The 20,648-nt window shown below is 54.6% G+C and overlaps 7 annotated features.

Annotated features, from left to right (window-relative positions):
- Positions 13-72: a silencer, noted in NCBI's record as "silent region_9878". NCBI's record gives its function as "represses an Ori minimal core promoter by ATAC-STARR-seq in GM12878 lymphoblastoid cells {active_cell/tissue: GM12878}" and the evidence as "EXISTENCE:reporter gene assay evidence [ECO:0000049][PMID:35858748]".
- Positions 283-392: a silencer, noted in NCBI's record as "silent region_9879". NCBI's record gives its function as "represses an Ori minimal core promoter by ATAC-STARR-seq in GM12878 lymphoblastoid cells {active_cell/tissue: GM12878}" and the evidence as "EXISTENCE:reporter gene assay evidence [ECO:0000049][PMID:35858748]".
- Positions 453-782: a silencer, noted in NCBI's record as "silent region_9880". NCBI's record gives its function as "represses an Ori minimal core promoter by ATAC-STARR-seq in GM12878 lymphoblastoid cells {active_cell/tissue: GM12878}" and the evidence as "EXISTENCE:reporter gene assay evidence [ECO:0000049][PMID:35858748]".
- Positions 1,721-1,879: a silencer, noted in NCBI's record as "fragment chr19:4068686-4068844 (GRCh37/hg19 assembly coordinates)". NCBI's record gives its function as "represses an EF-1alpha promoter that drives an FKBP-Casp9 reporter gene in an ReSE screen in K562 erythroleukemia cells {active_cell/tissue: K562}" and the evidence as "EXISTENCE:reporter gene assay evidence [ECO:0000049][PMID:32094911]".
- Positions 4,751-4,951: a silencer, noted in NCBI's record as "peak3265 fragment used in MPRA reporter construct". NCBI's record gives its function as "represses an SCP1 promoter by STARR-seq MPRAs in K562 erythroleukemia cells {active_cell/tissue: K562}" and the evidence as "EXISTENCE:reporter gene assay evidence [ECO:0000049][PMID:32103011]".
- Positions 10,663-10,842: an enhancer, noted in NCBI's record as "active region_13753". NCBI's record gives its function as "activates an Ori minimal core promoter by ATAC-STARR-seq in GM12878 lymphoblastoid cells {active_cell/tissue: GM12878}" and the evidence as "EXISTENCE:reporter gene assay evidence [ECO:0000049][PMID:35858748]".
- Positions 17,688-17,827: an enhancer, noted in NCBI's record as "active region_13754". NCBI's record gives its function as "activates an Ori minimal core promoter by ATAC-STARR-seq in GM12878 lymphoblastoid cells {active_cell/tissue: GM12878}" and the evidence as "EXISTENCE:reporter gene assay evidence [ECO:0000049][PMID:35858748]".

Consider the following 20,648-nt stretch of genomic DNA (forward strand, 5'->3'; position numbering starts at 1 on the left):
CCCCCCCAGCCTGGCCTCGGAGGCCAGAACAGGCTCGGCAGGTCCCCTCTTGCCACGTCTCTGCCCTCCCGTGGGGCTTCGCCCGCTGCGCCGGGGAGACCGGGCTGTTATTAGGTTTTGTCAAGTCGGGGGGGGGGGTCCGGCCCGCCCCGGCGCGCCCCCCCGCCTCTGACCTCTCCGCCCCGCCGCGCGGCGCCGTGCCAGCTTGCCAGCTTATCTGGCCCCAGAGCTCCCCGGGGCGCGGGGGGAGCGGGCCCCCCGGGGTGGAGGGGGGGTGGGGGCCTCCAGATAAACAGGCCCCCAGCCTCTGCGCAGGGGCGGGGTGCGGGGGGGCGCGGGCTGTGCCCCCGACGCCCGGGGCGTGGCAGGATGGCAGCGGGGGCGGGGAGCGCGGTGCGCACAGCGAGGAGCGACGCGGGCGTGTGGGTCGCGCGGCCTGGGCTGCCGGGGGTGGGTTGGGGGTGAGGCGGTGGGGATCCCCCCGCAAGGCCAGGCCCTGGGCCTCCCCGGGCCTCAGTGGGACTTGCCGCGCCAGGGACCCCGGGGGGTGGCCTTGCCAAGGACAGCCCGGGTCCGCGGGGCTCCCGGGTCCCTAAATGAAACCACCAACCTGCCCTCCCGCGATTATATAAAGGAGTCGCCTCCACCCCGCTGCGCTAGGGGCGTCAGCGGGGGAAGGGGTTGGCGAGGGGCGGGGAGGGCGGTTGTTTTCCCGGCTTCGCGAGTTCCCCCACCCGGCTGCGGGCCGCGGGGCGGGACGGGGACCGGGCCCTGGACGCCTGGTCCGCGCGGGCCGCTCCTTGGCACAAGGGGGTCTGCATGGCTCGCGAGGGGCGGAGGTGGGGAGTGGGGAGGCGTTGGTTCAGCGCGACTTTTTTTTTTCCCCTGTCCGTTTCTCCCACTTCCTCCCCGGTCGTGGGAGAGGTCCGGCGGGGGACAGGGAAGGGGGAGCAGGGCACGAGTGGTGAGAACGTCCTGGCCCGGCCCGGGGAGGGCTGGCTGGTGCGACCGCGCGCCTGGGGGGGGGGGGGAGGGCTCCAGGACTCAGTTTCCCCTTCCTCATTCCTCCAGACAGAGAGAGTACTGACAGCTGCTTTAGCTGCCGTTTAGTGAGCGCTTATCCAGTGGGTGACCCTGTTCCGGGGCTCACTGTGCCTTCATTCTAACACCTAATCCCAGGGTCATTATTATGTTTTATTATTATCTGGCATTCTTAGTACCAACACCACCTGACAGCGGGAACCACCACCGGCCTGGGTGTAGTGTACCCAGCCTGTCCTCTGACTTCAAAGCCTCTCCTGCGAGAGACACAGTTTATGGCTTCTTCGCACAATTTATTAAAAGCGCCTTTCAACACCCAAACGGGTTGGATTGGCTTTTGTAATAATAATCTGGCTACGAGGGGAAACCCGGGAGGGCCCCCCGGAGGGGAAGTGGACTGTCTCAGGACTCGCAGCCTGAAACCAGCCGGGTAGGTGGGAAGGGACCCAGGGAGGGGCCGCGTGGATCTAGGGCGAGGGTGTCATCCAGGGACTTTGCTCCAAGGACCCTGCCTGGGATAGAAATCCTTCTTCCTTCAACCACCGGCCATCAGCCTCGGGACCAGGAGGCCACGCTGAAGCACGATTCTTCCCAGATCCCACTGTTGTGTTTGGATTTCTGCAAATGATGCCCAGACGTTTTTTTTTGTTTTGTTTTTTTGTTTTTTGTTTTAGACAGACTTGCTCTGTCGCCCAGCCTGGAGTGCAATGGCACGATCTTGGCTTACTGCAATCTCCGCCTCCCGGGTTCAAGCGATTCCCCTGCCTCAGCCTCCTGAGTAGCTGGGATTACAGGCACCTGCCACCACGCCCGGCTAATTTTTTTTTTTTTTTTTGTATTTTTAGTAGATACAGAGTTTTGCCATGTTGGCAAGCCTGGTCTCAAACTCTTGACTTCAGGTGATCCAACCACCTTGGCCTCCCAAAGGGCTGGGATTACAGGCGTGAGCCACCGTGGCTGGCCTTGGTTTTTTTTGTTTGTTTGTTTTGTTTTTTGTTTTTTTAATAGAGATTTGGTGGGGCCGTGGGGGGGTCTTGCTATGTTTCCCAGGTCTCAAACTCCTGGGCTTCAGTGTTCCTCCCACCTGAGCCTCCCACAGTGCTGAGATGACAGGAATGAACCATCGTGCCAGCGAGACGCCCAGGCTCTAAGCTCTACATGGTCTAACTTCCCCCACACCAGGAGCAGCAGGTGACTCAGTTTCCCCTCTTGTACCACCAGCCTCAGATCCGATCCTGCAGGAAAAGGATCGAGAAAGCCCCACTCGGATTCTCCATGGTGAGAACCTGACTCAGAGGGGCAGGGGCTCCTCTGTGAGACGGGCATGGACCCTAATCCTCATCGCAGCCCTGAGAAGAAGCAGAGACTACAATTTCCACCATACAGTTGGGGAAACTGAGGCCCAGAGATGGACAAGGAGCAAGGATGTTAAGTCCAGCATTCGCGTGTCTCTGGACGCTGCCAGGGGGACCAAAGGGAGGTCCTTCAGGAAGTGCCAGGATGTGGCACACCCCAAACCACGCCCCCCGCCCCTGTCATGAAAACAGAACGAAGGGGACCCAAAGCTTCCTCCTGACCTCTGCCCTTCACTTCCTTTTTCCTCCCCCAACCAAAAAAAAAAAAAAAAAAAAAAAACCCGAGTTGATACTATTGAAAACCTAATAAAGTATAAAAGATTGGGTTGCTGTGTGATCTTGGGCAGGTTGCTTAACCTCTCTGATCCTCAGACTCCTTTGGAGAGAAGAATCGATGCAACTTCCTAGTGTTGTGACAAGGGAGAAATGAGACGGTGCATGGAACGCTGAGACAGCACAACCCCTGCACCAGGGAGGTCTTCATTACATGATAGGTGTGATTATATTATTAATGTTTGAGTCACGCCTATTATTTTTGTCTCTGTGTAGCCAGGGGTTTTCTGTTTGTCTGTTTGTTTGTTTGTTTATTTGTTTGTGAGACAGAGGTTCACTCTTATTGCCCAGGCTGGAGTGTAATGGCACGATCTCGGCTCACCACAACCTCTGCCTCTCAGGTTCAAGCGATTTTCCTGCCTCAACCTCCCAAGTAGCTGGGATTACAGGCATACGCCACCACATCCGGCTAATTTTTTTTTTTTTTTTTTTTGAGACAAGTCTCACACTATTGCCCAGGCTGGAGTGCAATGGCACGATCTCGGCTCACTGCAACCTCCGCCTCCCTGGTTCAAGCGATTCTCCTGCCTCAGCCTCCTGAGTAGCTGGGATTACAGCCGCGCACCACCATGCCCAGCTAATTTTGCGTTTTTATAGAGATGGGGTTTCACTATGTGGGCAAGGCTAGTCTCAAACTCCTGACCTCATGATCCGCCCGCCTCGGCCTCCCAAAGTGCTGGGATTACAGGCATAAGCCACCGTGCCCGGCCTCTAATTTTGTATTTTTAGTAGAGACGGGGTTTCTCCATGTTATTCAGGCTGGTCTTGAACTCCCGACCTCAGATGATCCGCCCACCTCGGCCTCCCAAAGTGCTGGGATTACAGGCGTGAGCCACCGGGCCCGGCCGTAGCCAGGGTTATTATCCTTGGTGGATAGATGTAGACAGGGGACCAGGGAGGAGGAGTAACTTAGCAAAGACACAAAGGGAGTGGCTGGGGGGACTTGAGTTTCAGTTACGTTGACTAGACTGTGCTGTGAAGTCATGTAATATTTTATTTTATTTTTATTTATTTATTTATTTTGATACGGAGTCTCCCTCTGTTGCCCAGGCTGGAGTGCAGTGCCGCGATCTCAGCTCACTGCAACCTTCACCTCCCGGGTTCAAGCAATTCTTGTGCCTCAGCCTCCCAAGTAGCTGGGACTACAGGTGCACGCCACCATGCACAGCTAATTTTTGTATTTTTACTGGAGATGGAGTTTCACCATATTGGCCAAGCTGGTCTCAAATCCCTGACCTTGTGATCCACCCACCTTGGCCTCCCAAATTGCTGGGATTACAGGCATGAGCCACCGCGCCTGGCCCCATCTCCATTTTTTAAAAATAAATGAATAATAATAATAATGAAATAGAATGTTTATTTTATTTTATTTTATTTTTTTGAGGTGGAGTCTCGCTCTGTCGCCCAGGCTGGAGTGCAGTGGCGCGATCTCGGCTCACTGCAAGCTCCGCCTCCAGGGTTCACGCCATTCTCCTGCCTCAGCCTCCCGTGTAGCTGGGACTACAGGCATCCGCCACCACGCCCGGCTAATTTTTTTTGTATTTTTAGTAGAGACGGGGTTTCACTGTGTTAGCCAGGATGGTCTCGATCTCCTGACCTCGTGATCCACCCACCTCGGCCTCCCAAAGTGCTGGGATTACAGGCGTGAGCCATCGCGCCCGGCCGAAATAGAATGTTTATAACAGCATAATTCACAACAGCCAAAAGGTGGAAACAATTCCAGTGTCCATTGCTATTATTCTTTTCTTTCTTTCTTTTTTTTTTTTTTTGAGACAGAGTCTCCTGTGTCACCCAGGCTGAAGTGCAGTGGCACAATCTCAGCTCACTGCAACCTCCATCTCCCAGGTTCAAGCGATTCTCCTGCCTCAGCCTCCCAAGTGGCTGGGATTACAGGCACCTGCCACCATGCCTGGCTAATTTTTGTATTTTTAGTACAGAAGAGGTTTCACCATGTTGGCCAGGCTGGTCTCAAACTCCTGACCTCAGGTGATCCACCCATCTCAGCTTCCCTAAGTGCTAGGACTACAGGCATGAGCCACTGCGCCCAGCTTCCATTATTAGATCAATGGATAAACACAGCATAGGACATCCACACAGCGGAATATGACTCAGCCATGAAGAGGAGCAAAGCTCTGATGCAGGCCACAGTGTGGATGCACCTTGAGGACATCATACTCAGTGAGAGAAGCAAGACACAAAAGTCCAAACTGTGTGATCCCATTTCTCTGAAATGTGCTGAACAGGCCAATCCATGGAGATACAAAGTGGATGCGTGGTTGTCAGAGGCTGGGGAGGGGAATGGGGGTGACTGCTATTGGACATGAGGTTTATTTTGGTGATGATGAGAATGTTCTGAAGTTATATAGAAGTAATGGTTCCATAACTCTTTCAATATTCTAGAAACAACTGTGCTTTTTATTTTTCATTTTTATTTTTATTTATTTTCTTTCTGACGGAGTCTCGCACTGTTGCCTGGGCTGGAGTGCAATGGCACGATCTTGGCTCACCGCAACCTCCGCCTCCCGGGTTCAAGCAATTCTCCTGCCTCAGCGTCCTGAGTAGCTGGGATTACGGGTGCCCGCCACAACGTCCCACTAATTTTTTGTATTTTTAGTAGAGACGAGATTTCACTATATTGGCCAGACTGGTCTCGAACTCTTGACCTTGGGAACCGCCCACCTCGGCTTCCCAAAGTGCTGGGATTACAGGCGTGAGCCACCGTGCCCGGCCTTGTGCTTTATTTATTTATTTATTTATTTAGAGACAGAGTATGACTCTGTCTCCCAGGCTGGAGTGCAGTGGCGCAATCTTGGCTCACTGCAACCTCTGCCTCCCAGGTTCAAGCAATTCTGCCTCAGCCTCCCAAGTAGCTGGGACTACAGGCACACACCATCATGCCCGGCTAATTTTTGTATTTTTAGTAGAGATGAGGTATTACCATGTTGGTCAGGCTGGTCTTGAACTTCTGACCTTGTGATCCATCCGCCTTGGCCTTCCAAAGTGCTAGGATTACAAGTGTGAGCTGCCGCGCCTGACCTATTATTTACTTATTTATTTAGAGACAGAGTTTTGATTTTGTCACCCAGGCTAGAGTACAATGGCGCGATCTTGGCTCACCGCAACCTCCACCTCCCGGGTTCAAGCCATTCTCCTGCCTCAACCTCCGAGTAGCTGGGATTACAGGCACCCACCACTACACCGGGCTCATTTTGTATTTTTAGTAGAGACGGGGTTTCTCCCTGTTGGTCAGGCTAGTCTCGAACTTCTGACCACAGATGTTCCACCTACCTCAGCCTCTCAAAGTGCTGGGATTACAGGCGTGAGCCACCGTGCCCGACCTAATTACTTTTCTTTTTATTTTGTAGATAGAGACAGAGTCTGGCTATGTTGCCTAGGCTGGTCTCAAACTCCTGGGCTCAAGTGATCCACCAGCCTTGGCCTCCCAATGTGCTGGGATTGTAGGCATGAGCCACCGTGCCCGGCCATGCCTTCCTGTCTCATTTATTCACTGGACAAAAATGGACCATGTGCTTTCCATGGGCCAAGTCCCTGCTCTCCAGCGTACAGGCTAGAGGAGGCTAAAGATAGTAAGAAAGAAGACAAATGAATACAAGGATTCCAGACATCATGAGTGCAATGAGAAAAGCAAGCCATAGGAATGGAAATACCAGGACCAGTCCTGGAGAATTGTTTTTTGTTTGTTTGTTTGTTTTTGAGACGGAGTCTCGCTCTGTCGCCCAGCCTGGAGTGCAATGGTGCAACCTTATCTCAGCTCACTGCAACCTCCACCTCCCGGGTTCAAGTGATTCTCCTGTCTCAGCCTCTGAGTAGCTGGGATTACAGGTGCATGCCACCACCCCCAGCAAATTTTTGTATTTTTCGTAGAGACGGGGTTTCACCATGTTGGCCATGCTGGTCTCGAACTTTTGACCTCAGGTGATCCACTGCCTTGGCCTCCCAGAGTGCTGGGATTACAAGCGTGAGCCACCATACCTAGCCAGGGAATTTCTTTTTTTTTTTTTTTTGCATAATTAGGAACCAAGCGCAGTGGTGCATGCCTATAGTCCCAGCTATGTGGGAGGCTGAGGCAGGAGGATCACTTGAGCCCAGGAATTGGTGGCTGCAGTGAGCTATGATTGTGTCCGTCAGTATCCTCTGCACTCCAGCCTGGGCAACAGAGCAAGACTCCATCTCTAAAATTTAAAATAATAATAATAGGCCGGGCATGCTGGCTCCCACCTGTAATCCCAGCATTTTGGGAGGCTGAGGCGGGTGGATCACCTGAGGTCAGGAGTTTGAGACCAGCCTGACCAACATGGTGAAACCCCATTTCTACTAAAAACACAAAATTAGCCGAACGTGGTGGCGCACGCCTGTAATCCCAGCTACTCAGGAGGCTGGGGCAGGAGAATCACTTGAACCCGGGAGGTGGTGAGCCATGATCGTGCCATTGCACTCCAGCCTGGGCAACAAGAGCAAAACTCTGTCTCAAAAAAAAAAAAAAAAAAAAAAAAGGGCCGGGCACGGTGGCTCAAGCCTGTAATCCCAGCACTTTGGGAGGCCGAGGCGGGTGGATCACGAGGTCAGGAGATCGAGACCATCCTGGCTAACACGGTGAAACCCCGTCTCTACTAAATATACAAAAAATTAGCTACACATAGTGGTGGGTGCCTGTAGTCCCAGCTACTCAGGAGGCTGAGGCAGGAGAATGGTGTGAACCCAGGGGGCGGAGCTTGCAGTAAGCCAAGATCACCCCACCGCACTCCAGCCTGGGCGACAGAGCGAGACTCCGTCTCAAAAAAAAGAAATGCTAGAATGGATCTACAAATAGAAGGAAGACGACGTGACGATACACAATGAATTTGTTTTCTTGTGGACAGGAATCGTTGCAATTATTATCAGTTTTCTACAACTTACGGGGTTGTGAAATAACTCAAAGATAGCAAAAGACACAGAGATCCCACAGAATCAGACAAAACCGACTTGTGCCTAGAGGCTATTTCATTTTTTAAATAGTCCTGAAGGGCCTACACGGTGGCTCACGTCTGTAATCCCAGCATCTTGGGAGGCCAAAGCTAAAGGATCGCTTGAGCCCAGGAGGTCAAGATCAGCCTGGGCAACATAGTGAGACCCTGTCTCTACCAAAAAAAAAAAAAAAGATCATGAAGATGATTTCTTCAAAGGAAGTGATGTTTGAGCAGAGATCTTTTCTCTCCTTTCTTTCTTTCTTTCTTTCTTTCTTTCTTTCTTTCTTTCTTTCTTTCTTTCTTTCTTTCTTTCTTTCTTTCTTTTATTTTGGAGACAGAGTCTTGCTCTGTCACCAGGCTGGAGGGCAGTGGCACGATCTCAGCTCACTCCAACCTCCGCCTCCTGGGTTCAAGAGATTCTCTTGCCTCAGCCTCCCGAGTAGCTGGGATTGCAGGCTCCTGCCACCACGCCTGGCTACTCTTTGTATTTTTAGTAGAGACAGGGTTTCACCATGTTGGTCAGGCTGGTCTCGAACTCCTGACCTCATGTGATCCACCCATGTTGGCCTCCCAAAGTGCTAGGATTACAGGGGTGAGCCACTGCGCCCGGCCATGAGCAGACATCTTAATGAAGATAGAATTAGCTGAAGACCTCCGTATGTTTCCTAGGTGAGAGGAACAGCCAAGGTGCCCAGAGTGGCTGCAGTTGGGAGCCAGAGGGCACCCAGTGGGGACTTGTGGCCGTGGTGCAGGCTGTGGACTTTATTTAAAGTGTTCTGAATTCAGCCATGAAAAGGAAGGAGGCTCTGACTCAGGCCACCGCGTGGATGAACCCTGAGGACCTCACACTCAGTGAGGGAAGTCAGACACAAAAAGCCACACAGCGTGTGATCCCATTTCTATGAAATGTCCAGGACAGGCCAAGCCACAGAGGCAGGAAGGGGATGCGTGGGTGCCGGGGTCGGGAGGGGCATGGGTAGTGACTGCCGATGGGGATGGGGCTTCCTTTCTGGGGTGATAGGTTCTGCAACTAGATAGTGGTGATAGTTGCACAAGTCTGTGAATGTATTGAGAATGACTGAATCGCACCCTTTAAAAAGGGCAGGCTCAAGGCTGGGCGCGGTGGCTCACGCCTGTAATCCCAGCACTTTGGGAGGCTGAGGCGGGCGGATCATGAGGTCAGGAGTTCGAGATCAGCCTGACCAACATCATGAAACCCCATCTCTACTAAAAATACAAAAAAAAAATTAGCCGGGTGTGGTGACGTGGGCCTGTAATCCCAGCTACTCAGGAGGCTGAGGCAGGAGAATGGCTTGAACCTGGGAGGCGGAGGTTGCAGTGAGCCGAGATTGCGCCACTGCACTCCAGCCTGGGCAACAGAGTGAGACTCTGTCTCAAAAAAAAAAAAAAAAAAAAAGGACAAACTCATGCCTGGAACCCCAGCACTTTGGGAAGCCGAGGCGGCTGGATCACCTGAGGTCAGAAGTTCAAGACCAGCCTGGCCAACATGACGACACCCATCTCCACTAAAAATACAAAATTAGCCGGGCATGGTGGCTCATGCCTGGAATCCCAGCACTTTGGGAAGTCGAGGCAGCCAGATCACCTGACGTCAGGAGTTCAAGACCAGCCTGACCAACATGACGACACCCCATCTCCACTAAAAATACAAAAATCAGCCAGGCATGGTGGTGGGTGCCTGTAATCCCAGCTACTTGGGAGGCTGAGGCAGGAGAATCACTTGAACCTGGGAGGCAGAGGTTGGAGTGAGCCAAGATCGTGCCATTGCACTCCAGCCTGGGCAACAAGAGCAAAACTCTGTTTCAAAAAAATAATAAATAAATAAATAAATAAATAAATAATAAAAGGTACATATTCTGGTATGTGAATTATATCTCAATTTATTTATTTATTTATTATTTTATTTTTTGAGACTGAGTCTCATTCTGTCACCCAGGCTGGAGTGCAGTGGTGTGATCTCGGCTCACTGCAACCTCCACCTCCCGGGTTCAGGTGATTCTCCTGCCTCAGCCTCCTGAGTAACTGGCATTACAGGTGTGTGCCACCACACCTGGCTAACTTTTGTATTTTTACTACAGATGTGGTCTTACCGTGTTGACCATACTGGTTTCGAACTCCTGAGCTCAGGTGATCCACCCGCTTCGGCCTCCCAAAGTGCTGAGATCACAGGCGTGAGCCACCGTGCCCGGCCTGGGAGAAATACTTTCTGAGCTGCTGATTTCTCCATGGCTTCTGAATTCATAGCGGTTGGGGAGATGGTGCCTGGGTATTTTCACCTGGGCAGCTGCTAAGAGGTGACTTCTATTTGTTCCAGAAGACAGAAGCCTTGGTAGCTATGCTGGGACTGGATCCGTGTCCACCACACCACTCAGAATTCCCATCTGCAATGGGTCCCTTCTGCCCCGTTTTTACCAAGCCCAGTTCCCTCTCTGCAACTGAGAGGCAGCCTCTTGCCCCACCCCCTCTCTTCCAGACTGGATGGCTGCCTCCCAGGCACCTCTCAGGACCTGGCCACAGAGCTCCAAAGCCCAGGGCCTGCTGCCTTTTGGGTCATGGCTCAGGGCCCAGTCTCTACCTCTCTCTGTGGCCCAGTACCCTTTAGCTCAGGAGGTCTCATCTGGAGTGACTCTGCCTCCTTCCAGGCGATACTGGGTGATATCTGGAGACATTTTTAGGTGTTGTGATTGGGGAGGGGGTGGGTGGAGGCCAGGGACACAGCTCAGCACCCTGCAGTGCCCAGGACGGACCCACCCCAGAGGTTGATCAGGTCCCATAGTGTCCACCACACCGAGGGGCTGAAATTCTAGCCTGGGTCTAACTTCAGTCTTGCTCGCTGTAGAAGGCACCCACACACTTCTCTCCTCTCTGTGCTCTGCAGAGAAGAAAAGCCACTGGCCAGTGACCCCTGGACAAGGCAGGACTTCAGCCATCCACTGCCCTCCACCACCACCCCTGGGCACCCCCTTGTCCAAAGCAGACAGTCTCTACTCTGGGATAAGGGGGGGACCCTGGCCCCAGGCTTTACCCACTTTGGGGTGATTCCTGGACCCTGGAGATGGACCCCAAGGGTCACCCTCACCCCACGGGACCTCCCAACAATGGACAAGGCCAGTCTGTCCTCTCCCCCAGCCCCCAGTTGTGCAGAATCCTCAACATGGCACCCCCAGTGTGGAGCTGAAGACTCCAGACTTCAGGGGTGGGGGCGGGGCTGTGGGAGGGGAGATCATGGCTGCGGTTCTGGTCCAGCCAGACCTCCTGGGTTTGTTCTTTTTTTAAGAACCACCGCAATTTAAAGAGCGGAGTCCTCCCTCCCTGCAGCCCACCTGCCACGTGGGCTGGCCCCTGTTCCCCTCTCCTTCTCTCCGTCTCTGCCTGCCGGGCTTGGGCTGCGGGGGCCGGAGCTTCCGTTTCACTTTGGTATCACCGGTTTCACTTTCAGGGCTGGGGACAGAGAGAGGAGAAGAGGGACAGAGAGATGGACAGAGCCGGGGAGGGTGGCCTTGTTAAGTCGGGGGCCGGGGAGGGGTCCACCACCTGCCGCTCCTTTTCCTGACCTTCCTGACCTTCTTCTGGCCTGGCCGGGGCGGGGGGGGGGGGGGGGGTCCTGGAAGTCAAGGTCATGGGGTCAAGGTCAAGTTCTCCCTGTGTGACCTTGGGTGGGAGAAGCAACTTCCCACTATCCCTGAGCCTCCTTTCCTGAACCCCTCAGTTACCCAAAAGTGGGGCTAAGAATCACGTACACCCCACCCGGCGCTGGGAAGTTCAAAGATTCCTCCAGCACCGCGGACCATCCCATAATGTCCCCGTGGGAGGGGGCGGGGCCAACTCCCAGGCAGAACAGGATGTCGGCCGCTCCTTTGGCCAGGGAGAGACCCTTGGCCCAGAAACCACCGGGAAGGAGGCTCCGGGCTGCCCGAGTCCCGAGCCCGGGATGAGCCACTGTCCCCCAGAACCCCCAGCGGAGGCTGGAGCTCTGTCCGCTAGCAGATCCAGGCTGGAAATTCAGTTGGGCATGGCCTTGTCCCACCCCACCTCCATCCCCACCCCACCCTCAGGTCCTTCCTGCTTGGTGGGGGCCTGGGGCTTGAGCCACTCACTCAAGAGCAGGGACTGGGACCCACTGACCTCCCTGTCCCCAGCACCCCCACAGGGCCCAGTCAAGGTGGGGCAGGTGCTTGGTGCTGGTCAGACAGGATAGGGGAGTGACCATTTGCATGTCAATATCAATAACATATCTCGGTAGAGATAGGCGGTTAGTCTGTGTCAAAATGTGAGAGGGCGGTAGTTTTCTTTTTTTTTTTTTTTAACAGCTTTATTGAGATATAATTCACATGCCATGCAATTCACCCATTTAGAGTATAGAGTTCAGTGGTTTTTTGTTTTTCTTTTTTCTTTTTTTGGAGACACAGTCTCACTCTGGAGTACAGCAGAGCAGTCTCGGCTCACTGCAGCCTCCACCTCCCAGGTTCAACTGATTCTCGTGTCTCAGCCTCCAGAGTAGCTGGGACTACAGGCGCCCACCACCATGCCCGGCTAATTTTTGCATTTTAGTAGAGACAGTGTTTCACCATGTTGCCCAGGCTGGTCTTGAACTCCTGCGTTCAGGCAGTCTGCCCGCCTCGGCCTCCCAAAGTGCTGGGATTACAGGCATGAGTCACCTCACCCAGCCTCAGTGGTTTTTAGTATAGTCACTTGGCTGGGCTGGATGGCTCACACCTATAATTGCAGCACCTTAGGAGGCGAAGAGGGGCAGATCACTTGAGGTCAGGAGTTCAAGACCAGCCTGGCCAACGTGGTGAAACTCCGTCTCTACTAAAAATATAAAACTTAGCCAGGCATGGTGGCTTGCACCTGTAATCCCAGCTACTCTGGAGGCTGAGGTGGGAGAATTGCTTGAATCCGGGAGGCAGAGGTTGCAGTGAGCCAAGATCGTGCCACTGCACTCCAGCCTGGGCAAGAGAGCCAGACTCCATCTCAAAATATAAACATTAAAAATTAAGAAAAATAAAAATTAGCCTCTTCATTGTAAAACGGGAATAATAAAAAGAGAGAAAATAAATAAATAAATATTAACCAGCCGTGGTGGCAGGCGCCTGTAATTCCAGCTAGTTGGGAGGCTGAGGCAGGAGAATCACTTGAATCTGGGAAGTGGAGGTTGCAGTGAGCTGAGATCACACCACTGCACTCCAGCCTGGGCAACAGACTGAGACCCCGTCTAAAATAATAATAATAATAATAAAAAAATGGATAGAAAGGCAGCACCAGCTGGCTGAGGTGCTGAGGGGATCCACCTGGGCTGGCAGCTCTGTGCTCCTGGAAAAGCCCCTTCTCCACCCCACACAGGGCAGGAACCCAGGACTTCCAAACAGGAGGCTTAGGGAGGCTGCTGGAACCTTAGAAACCCACATTAGCAGTCCAGTGCAGTGGCTCACACCTGTCATCCCAGCAATTTGGGAGGCCGAGGCAGGTGGATCATGAGGTCAGGAGTTCAAGACTAGCCTGGCCAACATGGTGCAACCCCAGCTCTACTGAAAATACAAAAATTAGCCGGGCGTGGTGGCAGGCGCCTGTAGTCCCAGCTACTCGGGAGGCTGAGGCAGGAGAATGGCGTGAAACCGGGAGGCGGAGCTTGCAGCGAGCCGAGATTGCGCCACTGCACTCCAGCCTGGGCAACAGAGACTCTTGTCTCAAAAACAAAAAATAAATAAATAAAAAGGGAAACCCACGTTAGCATTTACAGGTGGCGCCCTGCGGAGGCCCAGAGAGGTACAGAGACAAGTGGGCTGGGTACACAATGGCCCCTCCCCTTTAATGATGGGGAGAGGGGGCATGGCGCGGTGACTGACACTTGTAACCCCAGCACTTTGGGAGACCGAGGCAGGAGGATGGAGGATACCTTGAGCCCAGGACTTGGAGACCAGCCTGGCCACATGACGAAACCCTGACTCTACAAAAAAAAAAAAAAAACTAGTCAGGCATGGTGGTGTGTGCCTGTCATCCCAGCTACTCAGGAGGCTGAGACAGGAGGTTCACCTGAGCAGGAGGCTGCAGTGAGAGGTGATCGTGCCGCCACTGCCCTCCAGCCTGGGTGACAGAGTGAGATCCTGTCTCAAAAAAACAAACAAACAAATTATGGGGAGAGAAGGGGAAAGGGAGAGGGGATGGGGAGGGGAAAGGAGGGAGGAGGTGGAGGGAGAGAGGGAGGGGTGGGGAGGGGAAGGGGGAGGGGGAAGAGAGGAGGAGGAGAAGGGGGAGGGGATGGGGAGGGCAGGAGGAAAGGAGAGGGGGAGGGGAAGAGGTGGGAGGGAAAGAGTAGGGAGGGGAAGACAGGGAGGGGAGATGAAGGGAAGGGGAGGGAGAGAGGGAGGGGTGGGGACGGGAAGGGGAAAGGGAAAAGAGGGGAGGAGGGGGCCGGGCATGGTGGCTCACGCCTGTAATCCCAGCACTTTGGGAGGCTGAGGCAGGCAGATCACAAGGTCAGGAGATCGAGACCATCCTGGCTAACACAGTGAAACCCCGTCTCTACTAAAAGTACAAAAGTTAGCTGGGCGTGGTGGTGCGCACCTGTAATCCCAGCTACTCGGGAGGCTGAGGCGGAAGAATCGCTTGAACCTGGGAGGTGGAGGTTTTAGTGAGCTGAGATTGTGCCACTGCACTCCAGCCTGGGTGACAAAGCTAGACTCTGTCTCAGAAAAAAAAAAAAAAAAAAAGGTATGGGGAGTGTAGAGTGGATACCTGCAAGTGTCAGCTAGGACTCCAGTCTAATCTCCCTTGCAGGGTTCCACATTCAGGATCTCCTCTTTCCTCAGCCCACCTGGCTCTGGCACTAGGATCTTATGAAATCCCAGGGAGCTCCCTCCTGTGTCTGTGATCATTGCTCCTCCTCCCTTCTCCTTGATGCTCCTCCTCCCTTCTCCCTCCTCCTAGATGCTCCTCCTCCTCCCTCCCGCCTCCTTCTTGCCCCTCCTCCCTCCTCCTCCCTGCCCCTCCTCCCTCCTCCCTGCTCTTCCTTCCTCCCTCCTACTCCCCCCTCCTCCTCCTTGCCTCTCCTCCCTCCTCCCTGCTCTTCTCTGCTCCTCCTTCCTCCCTCCTACTCCCCCTTCTCCTCTTTGCCTCTCCTCCCTCCTCCTTTCCTCTCCTCCCTCCTCCCCCCTGCTCCTCCTTCCTCCCTCCTACTCCTCCCTCCTCCTCTTTGCCTCTGCTCCCTCCTCCCTGCCCCTCCTCCCTGCTCTTCCTTCCTCCCTCCTCCTCCTTCTTGCTCCTTCTTCCTCCCTACTCACCCCTGCTCCTCCTCTCTCCTCTTCCCTACTCCTCCTCCCTCCCCCTACTCTTCCCTGTTCCTCCTCCTTCCTCCTCTCTGCCCCTCCTCCCTCCTCCTCCATGCCCCTCCTCCCTCCTTCCTCCTCCAAGAGCCCAGGGAGCCCAGTGTCCGTGGGGACAGAGCTGCAAAGGCCTGACAGGAAGGGTCTCCCGAGGCCTGAGAAACGGTGTGAGCTTGGTATTCCGGGAGGAAGGGGGACCCAGGACAGCCACTCAGGGCCCAGCCTTTGTCTCTGCACAGAGCTCAAACTGGCTTGAGGGAGGAAGGGAAGGCGACCTGGACGGCGGTGTTCCTGGGAGTGCGAGTTCCAGATAGTTCTAGATACTGACGGAAGTTGCGGCAACATCTGCATTTGAACCTGCCACTGCTCCAGGCCTGGTGACCTCCAGCCTTTAACCTTTGTGTGCAGTGAGCCTTACTCCAAGAGGCAACCAGCCACCAGCCACCAGCCACACTCAGGGGGCCCAGTAGGGACCCCGTGCCTTGGAGGGCCCTCAGTGCCATCTTGGCAGCGATGCCACAGCTCAGGAGGTTGTGCCAGGGGCTTTCAAAGCTGCCCCCCTTGGCCAGGAGCAGTGGCTCACGCCAGTAATCCCAGCACTTTGGGAGGCCGAGGCGGGCGGATCACGAGGTCAGGAGATCGAGACCATCCTGGCTAACACGGTGAAAACCCGTCTCTACTAAAAAATACAAAAAAATTAGCCGGGTGTGGCGGCAGGCACTTGTAGTCCCACCTACTGGGGAGGCTGAGGCAGGAGATTGGCATGAACCTGGGAGGCAGAGCTTGCAGTGAGCCGAGATTGCGCCACTGCACTCCAGCCTGGGTGACAGAGCGAGACTCCATCTCAAAAAAAAAAAAAAAAAAAAAAAAAAGCTGCCCCCCTTTCTTGCCTGGAGGGAGGAAGGGATCTCAGCTTCATGGCCATATTTTGAACCTCGTTGCTCCCAGCCCGCGCCCCCAGCCAGGCTGGGCCTCTCCAAGGGCCCCTGTCACCCAGTCCTGCCACCCAGCCTTTGCTGACACCGTTGCCCATGTTGGCCCCGCCACTGTTGGGAATGTCCTCTCCAGCCCTCAGCTGTGGATTCCCCTCCTTCCCAGGACTTCTCCTCTAGGTGCTGGCTAAATTTGCCTTTAGCCCTTAGGGCGGCTATAAATTCTAATTTCTGGGCCCGAGCGAGCGCCGTGGGGAGGCTGCAGGCTCCCCAGCGATGGACAGGGGCTCTTATCTTTTAGGATCCCACAGAGCACTGCAGAAAAGCCCCAAATATTTGTGGGTCACGAAGGCAGTGTCCTGTCAGGGGAGACAGCAGGATGGTGGGACCACAGGATCGTCCATGTCTTCCCTGGGGGAGGTTCGAGTCACCTTCAGAAGGTCACCTAACTTGCAGGGACTCCGCTGCCGCAGAGGTTGTGTGGGGAGAGGCAAACCTGGTCAGCCTATTTTGTGGGGTGCAAACAGAAGGGATGTGGGCCTCCTCGGAAGTCTGCAGAGAGGATTCGCTCCTCCGTGGACGCTTCTCTCTTTTCTTGAGCCTGTGATGAGTTCCTTTGCAAATAGGGAAACTGAGGCTCTCAGAGGGGATTCTATCTTCCCCAAGGTCACAGGCCCAAGGACAGCAGAAATATCGTCAGGCCTGTGGTCCTGATGTTCAAACAGGAGGCCCTGGCTGGCCGCAGCGACTCACGCCTATAATCCCAGCACACTGGGATCAGAAGGATTGCTTGGGGCCAGGAGTTCCAGGAGTTTCAGGCCAGCCTGGGCAATACGGTGAGACCCCATCTCTACGAGAAAGTTTCAAAAAATGAGCTGGGCATGGTGGCGCGCGCCTGCAGTCCCAGTTACTCAGGAGGCTGAGGCAGGAGGATCGCTGGAACCTGGGAGGCGGAGGCTGAAGTGAGCTATGATGGCGCGCCACTGCCCTCCAGCCTGGGCAACAGAGTGAGACCCTGCCTCAAACAAAAACGTAAACAAAACAGGAGGCCCTGCTCTCCTGAGGGGCTGGTGGTGAGTCACTGGTAGATGGGAGAGAGCTGGGGTCAGGGTCCCAGCTGGGGGGGTGGGTCCTCACCTGTGCTACCCTCCAGGGGGCCTCTCTCCAGGCCTCTGTCCCTCCCCTGGGAAGCCTGGCAGAAACCTGAGACTGGGCCTCCAGTTCCAGGTCGCCACTGGGCCCAGGCCTCTCCTGTCCGCCTGCCAGGGACTGCGGAACAGGTAACTCCTGCGCCACCCTAAACCCACCTGGCCTGTTGCTCCAGGTGCGGCCTGGAGGCCCCGGGGCCTGCACACCTGGTCAGCTCAGAGGCCAGGAAGAGGAGCGGAGGGAGGGGTGGGGCCGCCGGCCGCTGCTGGTTTCGTTTTGAGCCGGGCCCCTTCTTCCTCCCTCCCTCCCACTCCTCGCCAGACCCCTGCATTCTGGGAAAGGCTGTGACAACTTCCTCTGAACTCTCCTTAACCTGCCCTGGAGCCCAGGGCCTCCAGGAGGCTGAGTTCCGCCTGCGGGACCTGAGGCTTCCTGCAGGTCACACACCTCCACCCCTGGCCACGTGGCCCTAGACCGCCCACCTTCTAGAAGCTTCTTTATGTGCTGCCCCATCATGTCCCCACCCCGGGTGCAGCTGTCCCCTGCCTGCACCCCCTCCACCCTGTGTCCCAGACTCTGCACACAGGAAACCGCCCTGGCCCCAGGGAGGGCTGCCTGAGACCCCCGCCTCCAACCTGCACTGGGGACATCTGGGCTGGATGGTCCTCGGGAGGTGGGGCTGCCTTGGGCACTGCAGGGTGCTGGGTGACATCTCTGGCCTCCATCCATTCCATGGCAGGGGCACCCCCTGTCTCGACAACCACAGACGTCTGGGAGTTTCCAAGCCTCCCCTGGGTGGGGGGACAGAATTGTTCCTGCTAAGATCCAGTGGATTAAAAGACATCTGTGAGGGGACAGAAATGACTGAGTTTTGTGCCGGCCGGTCAGGCAGTCCCTGGCAGACAAAATTCCCAAGTATTTGCATCCAAAAAAACAAAACAAAACAAAACAAAACAAAACCACCCAGCGTGGTGGCTCACACCTGTCATCCTAGCACTTTGGGAGGCCAAGGCGGTCAGATCATTGAAGTCAGGGGTTCGAGACCAGCCTGGCCAACATGGTGAAACCCTGTCTCTACTAAAAATACAAAAATTAGCCGGGTGTGGTGGCACATGCCTGTAATCCCAGCTACTCGGGAGACTGAGGCAGGAGAATCGCTTGAACCCGGGAGGTGGAGGTTGTGGTGAGCCGAGATCACGCCACTGCACTCCAGCCTGGGCAGCAAAGCGAGACTCCATCTCAAAAAAAAAAAAAAAAAGAGAGAAAAACCTAAATATTTCATATTGATTCCAAGGTGAAACGGGAATATTTTGGCTCTGCTGGGTGAAATATACTATCAAATCATCTGTTCTTTTCCTCTATTTTGTTTATTAATATTTATTTATTTATTTATTTATTGAGATGGAGTCTGTCTCCCTCTGTTGCCAGGCTGGAATGCAGGGGCGCGGGGTGGAACAGGTAACTCCTGCGCCCCTGCCTCAGCCTCCCAAGTAGTTGGGATTACAGGTGCCCACAACCATGCCCAGCTAATTTTTGTATTTTTTGTAGAGATGGGCTTTCATCATGTTGGCCAGGCTGGTCTTGAACTCTTAACCTCAGGTGATCACCCACCTTGGCCTCCCAAAGTGCTGGGATTACAGGCATGAGCCCCTGCACCAGAACGGTATTTATTTTTTTTGAGACAGAGTCTCGCTCTGTCACCCAGGCTGGAGGGCAGTGGCATGATATTGGCTCACTGCAGCCTCCGTCTCCTGGGTTTAAGTGAACAGGCCGGCTAATTTTTGTTTGTTTGTTTGTTTTGAGACAGAGTGTTGCTCTGTCGCCCAAGCTGGAGGGCAGTGGCACGATCTTGGCTCACTGCAGCCTTCCTCTCCTGGGTTTAAGTGAACACGCTGGCTAATTTATGTTTGCTTGAGATGGAGTCTCGCTCTGTTGCCCAGGCTGGAGTGCAGTGGCATGATCTCAGCTCACTGCAAGCTCCACCTCCCAGGTTCAAGGGATTCTCCTGCCTCAGCCTCCCTAGTAGCTGGGATTACAGGCGCCCGCCACCATGCCTGGCTAATTTTTGTATTTTTAGTAGAGATGGGATTTCACCATGTTGCCCAGGCTGGTCTCGAACTCCTGACCTCAAGTGATCCTCCCGCCTTGGCCTCCCAATGTGCTGGGATTATAGGCGTGGGCCACTGTGCCCAGCCCTTTCTATTTAAAATGTTTTAACAGGGAAATCCTGCTAAAACTGGGAAATGTACATTTCGTCTGGGGTGCAATGTGCACATTGGGTTGGGGTGGCAGGGATGGGGACAGGACGGGGACGCTATGGCGTGGTGCCCCGCGTGGAATCTCACCCTCTGGGCGGCTGGTTGCTTCTCCGGCCTCATTTCATTTGATGACCTTTCCACTTGCCCCACCCCGAGGCGGTTGTTGCAGGAGGAGAAGGAAGTATGTGCCTGTCCCAGGGCCGGCCTGGGTCCCACCTGGGGAGAATTCCACAGGATGAAGCGAGCAGGCAGTCGCCTGTGACCCCAGCTTCATAAATCAAATATGTTAGCAAATCCTGCCCGGCACACAGCCTGGGGCACTTGCATGGAGCCAGTGACTTTTTGGTGTGTCCGGGGACAGACTGCACTATGGAGAGGGATGTCAGGGCTGCCCATGCTCTCCGGAGGCAGAAGCCAGCACATATGAGCAAGTCAAGCGCTGTTTATTTACGATGAAAATACCAAGCTGGGGGGTGGGCGTGGTGGCTCACGCCTGTAACCTCAGCACTTTGGGAGGCCGAGGCGGGTGGACGGCTTGAGGTCAGGAGTTTGAGACCAGCCTGGGCAACATGGTGAAACCCTGTCTCTACTAAAACACAAAAATTAGCTGGGTGTGGTGGGCACCTGTAGTCCCAGCTACTCGGGAGGCTGACACACAAGAATCAGTTGAACCGGGAGGTGAAGGTTGCAGTGAGCTGAGATTATGCCACTGCACTCCAGGCTGGGCGACAGAGCAATACTCTGTCTGGAAAAAAAAATACCGAGCTGGGAAAACAGCCGACAAAACACTGTAGGAGTCTTCTTGGGGCCACAGGTGGTGTGCCCCAGGTCCACGTGGGCCTCAGACATGGGGGCAGGGCTATCATGTTGTCGAGAAGTTTTTTTTTTTTTTTTTGAGACAGAGTCTTGCTCTGTCGCCCAGGCTGGAGTGCAGTGGCGCGATCTCGGCTCACTGCAACCTCCGCCTCCCGGGTTCAAGCGATTCTCCTGCCTCAGCATCCTGAGTAGCTGGGACCACAGGCGTGCTACCATGCCTGGCTAATTTTTGTATTTTTAGTAGAGACAGGGTTTCACCATGTTGGCCAGGCTGGTCTCGAACTTCTGACCTCGTGATCCGCCCCTCTTGGCCTCCCAAAGTGCTGGGATTACAGGCATAAGCCACCGCTTCCGGCCTATCTGGAGGTTTTTAATAACCACAGAAAACCTCAACACGTCTGTGTAAAACCTTCCAATGTCAAGGAGTGAGCTGCCCCAGGGCCCCCCAAGGCCT

The sequence above is a fragment of the Homo sapiens genome, chromosome 19 (genome assembly GCF_000001405.40).
Source record: "Homo sapiens chromosome 19, GRCh38.p14 Primary Assembly".
NCBI lineage: Eukaryota > Metazoa > Chordata > Mammalia > Primates > Hominidae > Homo > Homo sapiens.